Source organism: Homo sapiens, chromosome 15 (genome assembly GCF_000001405.40).
Source record: "Homo sapiens chromosome 15, GRCh38.p14 Primary Assembly".
Taxonomy (NCBI): domain Eukaryota; kingdom Metazoa; phylum Chordata; class Mammalia; order Primates; family Hominidae; genus Homo; species Homo sapiens.
The window spans coordinates 48,148,303-48,160,420 of NC_000015.10; the positions used below are offsets into that span (position 1 = coordinate 48,148,303).

Below are 12,118 nucleotides of genomic sequence, written 5' to 3' on the forward strand. Positions count from 1 at the left end.
GTGAGAATTTAGTCAATTAAGATATTTGTAACAAAAGTTAAGTATGGTATATAAAAAGCTCTTTTTTAAAAGTGATAAACCACCTAATCTTCCACAGACCTGTGGAACACATTAAGGTTGTATAAGTAGTATCATTATAGTTAAGAACAGTTTATAAAAGAATAAGAAGGGCAACCAAAATGTACCCATGTCCAAGGCATTCCTGACAGTGGGTTGTATGCTACCAGCTAGGTTTCCTGTGTTGGGTAGGAATACAGTGTATGTAGAATGGGTCTCACCTATTAACTCCTTTATCAATTGGACATCAGCATCTCAGTTGGTTATGCTGATAATCCCCTGCACTATACTATAAACAAGGAAATAAATATACCATTTATTAATATTTCTCATGAGAAAAAAAGTTTAATGCAAAGAATGATAATATATTTATCTTTTTAAAATGAGGTAATAAAATAAGCCCTATCTTTATTAACAGAAAACAATGATAGGGTATATCCTAAACCTTGTTACCTAAACCTTGTTATTACCTAGTAGTAATAGCACTGCTCTAAGTCAAAAGATAGTGAAATAATTCATTTATTTGAAGTGGAATTAGACCTGGCACGCTATCAAGACTATCCAGGAATAGGCATCCGGACAGGCAAAGGTCTAAACACAGTGTATAAAAGTTTAAAACCAATTTTCCTCCATAATCAATATCAACATATCTGCAGTCATTTGCATACTTACCACACTGACTGAATTTCTCTTTTAGTTTCTGCCAAGTCAAGTCAAAAGGTAGCTAGAATGAAAAGAGGTATTAGTAACATATATACAAGAAAAAAAAGAATTTGAATTATCCTTAATATTTATTTGCTTACATTTCTGACAAATATCTGGTTGCCTTTGGAGCCTATTCTCTCTCTCATTCCGCTTCCCATTGGACCCGATAAAAATCCTCGATCCATATCGATGCTCCTTTCCAGTATAGCTCCTATACCTGGTCCCATTCTATCAAAGCTGGAACTCATCCGGTCCAGTCCCATCCCCATTCCTCCAGTCACACTGTTCATGCTACCCATTCCACCACCTGGATTTTCAAGAAAGGACGGGGGGATTTGGGAATTTTGTGTTTTTGTTTCAAAAACATAAGGAAAAGGAGAAGAGGAGAAAGGAGGAAAAGGAGATAAACATTTTTGAGAAAGAAGGGGGAAATTAATTTGTTTATATAATTAAATAATATAAAAACATAAAATTATTTTCATACAGATAACAACTTTCCAAAGAACAGAATTTGCTTACATATACATTTAGTTAGCTGAGAAATTCTAGCCACTGTATAAATACATTATGCATATATAACTGTATAAAATTGTATTCTGATCACTAAATATATCATATAAATATATAAATCCTCTACCAATCACTGCTTCCAATAACAGGACAGTTGTTCTGATCCTTATTTTTATTTTCCAATAATATCAAGCATAATAATTGCTAAAATAAAGATACACAGAGATAAATGCAAATTATTACAACTCTAGCACTCAAGCCGCTCTCATCATACTCTCCTACAAGTAAATACTCCTTTCCTAGCTTATCTTTCACCTCAGCATCTTCACCTCTGTTTCCCAGTTTTTATTCTCATGGTAATTCAATACTCATAGCAAAACATAACTTTTAATCTCAATATTACACGGAACTTGTCAAGGGAACAAAAAATGCTATCACTTCCCGTTAGCCAGAGCTTAAGAATTTAGCTCCGAACTCATACCTACTTCATTCTTATGCACTGACTCGATTTCCTGTCCTTTTCAATTGCTCCCATCTTACTCATTATCAAACCTTTTGTCTTGTATGTAATATCCCCAAACATGGAAATTCTAAAAATTAACATCACCCTCAAATTGGCTTTTTGTGAATAACCAATATAAAATCAGGGAAACAGAAGTACAAACACTGAGATAAAAGAGGAAGGTAAGGAAGTTAGGACTAATAGGAAATGGCTGAGGCTAAAAGATGATGGAAGGAGGAATAAAAGGAGCAAGATACAATGGAAGTAGACGTCTTAAGCTGACAGGATTTTAGAATTTACTTTTAGAATAGTTTAAATAGGTTGTATTTTCTATTTGTGAAATTTGATCAATTAAAGGAAGTCAATAAAGTATGGAGAGCTCAGAGACATGTCCCAGTAAGCAAAAGAGGTTAAAAAAATAAATAAATAATCCATGTATTCAGGCTTAATATAAGGCCTAAAAGGTAGGAGTGGAAATAGACGGATGGGAGATTCAGCATTCCCCAGTGTTGCAACTACTCTTGATGCTATTACGGGAAAGGTTCAAGAGGAAAAGAATTAAGTACCTCTTTCAACCTTAGCCTGACTCAAGCTCAGGAGATGCCTAAGAGTGCTATATCTGCATTTACCAAAAGACATAGATGTTTACAAATAAAATAAGCTAGTCACTAATAGCTATTATAGAAAATAAGCAAGGAAACAAAGTTGGTGCTAAAGCAAAAGTTGCTCCTGAAACATGATCAGAGAAATCCCCAGATTCCTTAGTTGGAAAGAAGGTTCCTGGATTGGCTGTTAACACATAGTTTAGAAATATCAAAAAAGTAAAATTCAAACAGTTAATTTAGAAATTTCAAACAATAATCAAACAGAAAGGCTTTGCTCAATTATCAAGGTTTCTCAAATTATAGCAAGACACATTAACGTATAAGAACAAAGTATTACTATACTACGATAACTACTCTTGCAAAGTCTTTGCAAGCACTCAAATATTACTGAATAAATTCTAGTAAAATTTAAACCTACTTATTCCAGATCCTACTGGACCCATGTTAGAAGATCCTATTCTTCCTGCAAACCCTCCAATCATTGCACTGCCTAAACAAGGATGGAAAGATAATATACTAATTAATTTTAAATAATCATACTTTAAAATTCCCAAGGTACTATGTGCTCTGATTTACAATAAATGAAAAGCATAAAGTCTTCTGAAAATAGAGTTCAAATATGTAAGATGTTGAAAAAGAGAGCTAGCATATTAAAATCCTTAAAGTGTTTTCTTCAGGTAATAAGTTGTATAAAACATTATGATTTTCTGATTTTTCACAAAAAAAGAGAAACCAAATTTCAAAAATTATAGCCTACAAAAAGAAAAGGAGAAGTATGCAGCCAGCCCTACCAAGTCTACCAAAGGAATCTCCAAAGCCTCGATTTATTCCAATATCACCACGTCCAAAATCTCGCTCCATGCTACTAGTCATCGCACCACGGTACAGCTCTGAAAAAATTGTGCAACAAATTAACCTTTTCAAATATATCAATACATGTTGAAAACATTCAGGAATGTATCTAAATTATGAAAAGACGCGTAAGTCACAAATATAAAATAGTCTGTCATTTACCCAATTTACCTCACATGCCACACATATCATCCCCATTCCCCAGGCCTGTCCTTATCCCCTAGTGCCTATATGCCTTCTGAAGACATTTTTAGCACACATTCCTAAGTTATAGGGGGGAAATATTAATAATAGGGAAAACTAAATATGCACACACTTCCCACTGCATACATTTACCTACCTCCCATTCGGCCAACTCCTCCAAATCCTCCCATGCTATTCATTGCTTCCAGACCACCAAACCCTATTCCTATGGAATAAAGATTAATTTTGAGATCCAACTGTCAGTCATGTAGCTGAAAGGTACGTTTTGTAAATGTTAAATCTCACCAGTAAGCTCTTCATCCACCCTACCTTGTGCAGCTACTTCTTAACACATCACCTTCCTTTAAGTATGTACCAGGCTCAATTTCTGCTAGCAGCCTTTAGAACATGAGCCAACAATAAACCATGACTTTTTTTTCATGGAATTCTCAACACAGTTTCTAGTTTATTAAAAATGGTGATGGGTACATACAAAAAAACAAATCTTTATACATACCTCCTCCAATTCTATTCATTCCTCCAAAACCTGGACCATCCATTCCCATACCTCAAATAAAATACACAGTATGTACTTTAAGTATATTTTATTTTTATGACTAAAAGATGATATAATGCATTATAGCAAAATAGATACCACTGGTATAACCACAATGAAACACTAGAGAAGCGGTAGGGTACAGGAGGCATGGTTTAAAGTGCTATGCCATAGCAGCTGTCTAATCATGAATCTTCAAAAGGGTTTCTTTGAACATTTATCAGACAAGAAAGCAAAATTCACTAGTAACACCCACAACATTCAGTTAGAGAATATCTTGAACTAGGTAATCATTCACTTTTTTTTCCACAATAAACACAGAAATACTACTATCAATGATTTTTTTTTTCCAGCATAGACACAGAAATAGCATTACAGCAGATTTAGAGATCAGGCCAGAATGTAAGGACTCTCTAAACATCGCAGTTAAAAGAGCAGTAAAAATTTTCAAAATATAAATAGTATGTATTTAGGAGAGGGTAGGTAGGTGTGAGAGTCTAAGGGTAAGGGAGAAAACTTGTTTGGATCAGAATGATTATGATAATGAGCCTCATAATTTAAAGTGTGACTACAGCATCTTGACAAAATAGGAATCTGATAGCATTTATTAGTCCATCAATTAAAACAGTAATTCACAAAGTATGGTCCAGGGACTCTTGAGGGTTCAATAGGTCAAAACTATTTAAGTCACCAAATACTACTAAGACATTATTTGATGTTTTACCCTCATTCTCTTGAGTTTAAGGTGTAATTTTCCAAACACTATATGATGTACAATATCACAAAAAACTAAAGTGCAGAAACAGATATAACAGCAATATTAAGCCAAACATTAAAAAGATGTGTGGAAAGGTAAAACAATGCCACTCTCCTCACCAATTTCTTTTTTGCATTGAAAAATAGTTTATTTTCTTAAAACTTTTATGTATGTTAACATGTAATGAGTTTATCATTTTTTAATATGTAATTTTTTTAATTTCTAATTTTTCATTTATAATACAGTAAATACTGGTAATTATAACTACATAAACAAAGCATTTTCGGGTTCTCAACAAATTTTAAAATATAAAAGGGTCCTAACACCAAAGTTTAAAAACCAATCTCTAAAAATGAACTGTGAGTTCTTCCAGGTGAGCAGCCAAATAACTACCTGAAAAGCCACCTTCCCAAATGGATAAACAGATTTTAGCTGCCTATGATATGGTAGCATTTCAGCTACTCCATAAATACTGTTCATAGATGATATATTCTCCTTCTGCCTTCAAGACATTTCAAAATCCAAAATGCTAAAAGGCTAGCTACAACATAGCTGGCCCCAAAGAAACCCTCCTGACTTCTGCCTATCTCTTTCATGTTAGCTGTGCTCAAGGTTTCATTCCTTTTTCAGAATGAAGTGACACCGTAAATATCTAACTATTAATTAGAGTCCTTTAAACATTATTACAGACCACATCAATGGAGGCTTTATTAGCTAGCATATGTATCATTTAAAAAGAAAAGAGGAAGTTAGAATACTCACCACCTGGACCTAAATTTCCCATTACTCCACCTATGTTCAACTGGCTGGCACTAATAGGCTGTCCACCCGGACCAAGTCCCATCCCAATGCCTCCAAGACCACCTAAAACAAAAATGAGAACAATCATTACAAAGATCCATATATGATTAACTAATTGGCAATAAAATTTTTTAAAAAGCTATATACCTGTAGTAGTATCTGTAAAATTTCTGCAAATTTTCATATAAAAGCACTGGTTCTTGTTTTTGTCTAGAAAGTAGCACACTGAAGCCCGACTATAAAACCATTTATTAATGAGAAGTGTTTTATGAAATAAAACATGATATAATACAAAGTACACCTTATACCCCACTTAAAGGTACACTGAGAGGAATAATAAAATACCTAGAGGATTTTGAATAATATCATATCACCTTATATATGGCACACATATCTGAAAATGAGTATCTTGCCCAAATTTGTAGACCCACTTAAAATTTGATAATTACTTTTTAAATGGTTCAAATCAAACTAAAAAGTCAATAACCATGAAAGTATAACACTGAATAAGGCAAATATTATATTACCTAGTTTTCTCATTGATATAAATATTTATTTATATTTATATGGCACCTTAAGTGTTTCCACATCTATTGTCCATAGAAGAGGAAATTTTTGAGACCTTAGGTTGCTTGCATAATGACATGTAGCTGATTTTAAGACTTTGGTCTTTGCTGTCAAACTGCACAAACTGCACAGGAAGGACAGATTACTTATAAAGAAAGGACGATTCAACAAATAGCTGACTTAATAGCAACAGTGTAAACATGAAGACTGTAGAATACTTTCAAAGTGCTTAGAGAAAATAATTATCAATCTTTATACAAGTTAAACTATCTTTGAAAACATTTAAAACCCAAAATTGAGAGAATTTACTAATAAAAGATCCTCACTTAAAAGAGCTTCTAACATATATGCTTCAGGGGAAAAAAATTAGTGCCAGAGTCTATAAAAGCAGAGGAGTGATGACACAAGAAAATGGTAAATAACATTGTCTAATTTGCAGGACAGAAAAAAAAATAGTACAGAACTAATAATACAGAACTAAAATGCTGAGCAATGATAGTATAATTCAGTAGGAAAGTGACTGTATCCAAAGGTCACTCTACTATTACATAAAAGAATAATTATATTAACTTCAGGCTTCACAGAAATATTAAAATATCCAGAAGAATCCAAGATAGGAGTAAAATAAGTATTTGTAAGACAAAAAAATAAGACACAATATAATGGAAATTAATCCAAATGAACCAATACATGTGAAGAAATTGAACTCTTCAATTTCATGGTGAAAAAAACTATCAAAGTGATTTTTTTAAAAAGTCTAAGCCCAGCAATAACACCCTTTATAAGGGGCATGCCTGAAACAGTAAAAAAATAGGAAAAATGTACCAGGCAAGTACTAAACAAAATAAAGCTGCTGTACTTACATTAAAATGAGACCAAAGACTCAAAGTAACTACTAGAGAAAAAAAATCACCCAATAAAATTTTTAATTCACTAGGAAAATATATCAATTCTAATCTAGATGCACCTACTAAGCTAGCTTAAAAATATTTAAGTAAAAACAAGAAAAAGTAGACAAATCCACTATTCTATTGGGCAATTTTACCAGACACATAAGATAATAAGATAAACAGTGTTACAGCAGAAAAAGTATTGGATCTAAGACAATTTAAATGATTAGCAAACTTGATTTAATGAACACATATAGATCACTGCACTCACCAACTGTACCCAGAATACTTAAGAAAAATGTGCCATATGGTAGGCCATCCATAAGTCCAAATGAATTCCAAAGAATCACACTCACATATAAACCATGTTCTCTGACCACATTAAAATGAAAAAGTACAAAGGAAAAAAAAAAAAACTCATACATTTGGAAATTGAAAACTTCCATTTTCAAATAATACATGGCTCAATAAGAAATCATAATGGTAATTTTTTTTTTTTTTTTTTGAGACAGAGTCTCCCTCTGTCACCCAGGCTGGAGTGCAGGGGCACGATCTCAGCTCACTGCAACCTCTGCCTCCCAGGTTCAAGCAATTCTCCTGCCCTAGTCTCCTGAGTAACTGGGACTACAGGCATGCGCCACCATGCCTGGCTACTTTTTTTTGTATTTTTAGTAGAGACGGGGTTTCACCATGTTGACCAGGCTGATCTCGAACTCCTGACCTCAAGTGATCCACCTGCCTGGGCCTCCCAAAGTGCTGGGATTACAGGTGTTAGCCACCATGCCCGGCCCATAATGGTAATTTTTAAATACTCTAAAAACTGACCCATCATAAAAATGCTCCATAGCAAAACCCATGTACTAACTTTATAGTCATAAATGCTTATATTAGAAAGGAAAAGCTACCAATTTGAAGTAAGCATTCAACTTAAGGAGTTAGGACAAAAACACACTAAACCCCAATAAATAGAAGGAAAAAATAATAAGGCTAAGTGCAGAAATTAGAAATACAAAACATCCAAATTCAGTTATTTGAATACTCTATTAAAACCGACAAATTTCTAACAAAATTAACCAAGAAAAAAATAAAAATTGCATTCAGAATTTTTAAAACAGAAACATAGATGTAGCAAAAACTTAAGAGATAATTTAAGCCAAAATATTTGAAAATGAACAAAAACAGAAAAAATCCTTAGAAAAATAGAAATTACAAAAATTGACTCAAAAAAAAAAGACAGAAAATATAAACCATCAGTAGTTAAAAACTTCCCAGAAACAACAGAGGAAGGCCAGTTTTACACATAATTTCTAGCAAATATAAAGAGAACATATAATTCTGATAAAAAATAGCAAATACTTTCCAACTTAATACACAATAACTAAAAATTAAAATAACCTAAAAAACAGAAAAATGTATAAAATGTGGTATCAGCAGTTAAAATGAAGAAACTAGAGCTACATCTATCAACATAAATGAATCTCAAAAACAATTTAAAAAAAAAAGCAAGTTACATAATACATTATGATATCACTCAAACAAAATTTTAAATCCAACAAAACAATTCCCTATGTTTATGGATGTACAAATGTGTAGTCAAATTATTAAAACCTAAATGATAAATACTCTATCCATAAGTTGTTTCCTCTGGATAAGGCATAAGTTGAAAGATGGGCAAGGGAGATGGGGAAGCTCCATTTTACCATAAAATTTTATTTATTTTAAAGAAAAAAATCTACAACAAATATGGCATATGATAACTATATGAGTAATTTTACTTTTGTCTGTATATTTAAGATTTCTTATAAGAATACTTTAAAAACCAGAGAAGATGCAGTGAAATAGTAAAAACAATAGCTAATATTTATTGAGTGTTTACATTATGCCAAAATGATTCTAAGTGCTTTACATATATTAATTCATGTAATACTCATGTCAACCCCATGACGTAGACAATATTATTCTCCCCACTTTTCAAAGGAGGCACTGAGACACAGAGGCACTGAGACACATAATACAATAAGTATATTACACTGTTATAGTCATTTTGGAAAACAATTTGATAATACTAACCCATGAGAACTGTAAATCTACTTCAGAATATCTGTCTGAAGGAAGTACTCAAAAACATTACAAAGATTTGTGAACAAAAAGGCATGTGTTACTCTGTGGTTACTCAAAAGAAAAGTTAAAACACCTAAAATACAGAACAGTGAAATAGTTATGGAACATCTATATGATAGACTATTATACTACCAATAAAAATATTTGAAAAGAATCTTCAACATGAAAAAATGCTTATACTCTAATGTTAAACAAAAAATAATTCAAAATTATTTTTGTTCCCAACTATGTAAAAAATATACATAGCAGGCTAGAAGAAAATACACAAAAATGTTATAATGAGGTTACCCACAGATGGTGAAATTACAGAGGACTTTTTTTCCTTCAAGTGTATAAATTTACCAAACATTTTAGAATGTATTGCTGATTAGTCAGGAAAAGTTACCAAAGAGAAAAAAAAAATGGCACGTAACACTTATCTTCTCAGTCTTCCTAATCAATAGCGCCAAACTATCTTCATAACTCCAAACTAATCCCAAATTGTGAGAAACTAGGATGTAGGCACAAAAACAAAGTGTTGCTTAGCACATAATAAAACAAACCAAAAAAAGCCTATGTTGTTTCTCATAATAGCTTTTACTTACGTGGTAATTGTGGTGTTTTACCATCATGTGAACGGTACTCTTCATGAGGAACAGACTTGTCATCCTAATTGCAAGAAAGTTTATAATATGGTTAACATATTACCACAAAGAACTGTAATGTAGAAGAGAGCCAATAAAAGATCTGAAGAGGTTGGAGGTTGAAGTGATATACAGGAACTCACCATTTTCACATGCATAGGTCTATCAAATAAAAACTGCCCATTGAACATAGCTGTTGGTTCAGTCAAGGAAAGTCAGTTAAGATAACTATAAAATTATAACAGAACACAAACTAATTTTTAATAATCTTAGAGTCCAACTCTCTGATATTTTAATTAACATCTTTAATACTTATTGATATTAGCCACTTTCATATACTCAAAAAAATATTCAATTCTTTGCTTTACGGTTTTATTTCATCAATAAGATGTATTTTTAATTCAACCATTGAAAAAAGTAAACTCGTAAGGCTTCGCTTAAAGTAACTGCATTAATATACAATAGATTACACAATTGTTAAATCCATGTATACAATTAATTGTGGTAGGAAGAAAGAAAAGAAAAAACTTCATACCAGCCCTGTACAATATGGCCAATTCAAGTTTTAAGAGTGACTTTAATACTTGGACCTACTAAGGGTTTTATTTGCTGGAGACTAAAGTCTAACACACATCTCTAAGCCAGGCAACCTTAAATTCAATTACCCCCCGCCAAAACAAAGGTGGTATTATGCTTCTTCAACCTCATAAACAATGCTGAAATGTAAATCAGGATACAAATTGCTTGAACTGCTTCAATTGCTTGCTCAAAAGTGACAGTGCCCATTCCTCTGCTCTTGCCATCTTTGTCTTCTTTAATATCTGCCCGCTTCACAGTTCCAGCTATGCTGAACACTTCCTTTAGCTTCTTCCAACCAACTTTGAAGTCAAGCTTAATATAAAATTGTATAAAGTTACATACCTAATAAATCCATCTCCCCATCTGTAAATACAAAAAATCTTTTCTAAACTCTTAAAACCATAAAGAACCATAATTCTAGTTCAACAATATATTGATAATGTTCAAATTTTAAAACATCTTCAGTTGCTTAAAATCATTTAAGCTACGTCTACATTGTTCCTTATCCTTATTTTTTTTAATTTCCAAAATCATCTCTCAACTGCTCAAACCTGTTTTGTACATTTGAAACTTGCATATCTATTTTTACCAAGAGAAATCCAGATTTTGAAAAGTATTGTTTTCACTGACTTTCAGATGCTTAGAACAAATAACAAACCAACTATGGCATGCATATTCACAAATATCAAGACTAAAAAAAGAAATCCATTTACCAATATAAACCAAAACACATATAATTTCAAGAACTGCTTGAATGTGTATAAACTGCACAGTTCCATGTTTAAAAAATCCAAATAGTTGTATTTAAACTCTAACCTTGTGCGTGTGTGTGTGTGTGTATATATATGTATATACGTCAATTGATTTTGAGTTTACAATAATTACTATTTCACTTACTTTAGTTAAAAATAAGCAAAATGTTCTATAAACCTATAACTCATTCATTTAATCAAATTAGCTATCTATCTGAATGACAAATTTTAGACTAAAGCTTGAACTTACATTGGCAACAAAAATTGTGGAACCAAGTCTACCGGCCTGCAAATTACTGATGACTTCAGGAGGAATGTTTGGATTATTGAGTATGGAAGGTGGTAAATTCATCAACCCTGATCCCATATCAGGGACGTGTCCTCCTGGAAATGATCCTCCTGTTCGCTGCAATGCCCTACGAGCATTTTCTCCATCAGGATCCTATAACACACATTGAATGTTAAATTCCACTAAATACATCACTAATTCTACAAAATTAAAATAACAATTTAAATTCTACAGTAGCTATCCTGTCTGGCTCAAATTATTGACCCTCTTGAAGAGTGAGCTTTTTTCTCATCCAGAGAATTGAGTCCCATAAAAACCTGTGGATAAACAAAATATTTCAGCCTCCAGAGATGTCAGTTAATTTTTTTTTCCAATCACTAAAGCCACTTAAGAACTTGAAATTAGTTTAATTTTGCTCTCACACTAGGGTACATGCATACATACATGTAACTCAAAGAAGAGCGAAGTACTCACTGCAACTTTTCTTTCCAAAATGTAGGAATGGTCATTTCTCACTATTGGATGCCCAATGGAATGCCAAATTCAGACTAATTCAAAGCTTTTCAATACTGGAACAGACTGTTATAAAACCCAAATACTGGGGTAGAGGATAGGATGGCCGACTGTAATCTGTAAATTTTATTCCTGAACAAAATACAGTTACCCACCTTCTAAACTCTTACCTTCTTCAACAATGATTATAATCTGAGATGGAGGAGAGGAGAGATAAAGGAGGGCTAAATGTCCAAGTGAGAAATGATATTAAACA

General features: G+C 32.5%; 1 protein-coding gene across 13 annotated transcripts in view, besides 1 other annotated feature; it reads right to left on the reverse strand.

Annotated features, from left to right (window-relative positions):
* Positions 1 to 12,118, reverse strand: part of MYEF2 (myelin expression factor 2) — a 43,664-nt gene that overhangs the window by 13,671 nt on the left and 17,875 nt on the right. For 3 of the 13 annotated variants that reach the window (NM_016132.5, XM_047432635.1, XM_011521657.3), the window contains 11 exons: positions 11,311 to 11,502; positions 10,467 to 10,620; positions 9,873 to 9,922; positions 9,691 to 9,754; positions 5,490 to 5,591; positions 3,932 to 3,982; positions 3,572 to 3,640; positions 3,171 to 3,269; positions 2,798 to 2,869; positions 861 to 1,069; positions 730 to 781 (listed from right to left, as the gene is read on the reverse strand). In NM_016132.5, coding sequence (NP_057216.3) covers positions 730 to 781; positions 861 to 1,069; positions 2,798 to 2,869; positions 3,171 to 3,269; positions 3,572 to 3,640; positions 3,932 to 3,982; positions 5,490 to 5,591; positions 9,691 to 9,754; positions 9,873 to 9,922; positions 10,467 to 10,620; positions 11,311 to 11,502 — 1,114 coding nt within the window. Of the gene's footprint in view, positions 1 to 729; positions 782 to 860; positions 1,070 to 2,797; positions 2,870 to 3,170; positions 3,270 to 3,571; positions 3,641 to 3,931; positions 3,983 to 4,004; positions 5,592 to 8,824; positions 9,597 to 9,690; positions 9,755 to 9,872; positions 9,923 to 10,466; positions 10,621 to 11,310; positions 11,503 to 12,118 lie in introns of those variants that run through there. The other 10 variants (XM_005254422.5, XM_047432636.1, NM_001301210.2 and 7 more) reach the window with 9 other exon arrangements.
* Positions 1,519 to 2,083: an enhancer, noted in NCBI's record as "OCT4-NANOG hESC enhancer chr15:48442018-48442582 (GRCh37/hg19 assembly coordinates)". NCBI's record gives its function as "activates a minimal SCP1, AML or CMV promoter by ChIP-STARR-seq in primed H9 embryonic stem cells {active_cell/tissue: H9 hESC(primed)}" and the evidence as "EXISTENCE:reporter gene assay evidence [ECO:0000049][PMID:30033119]".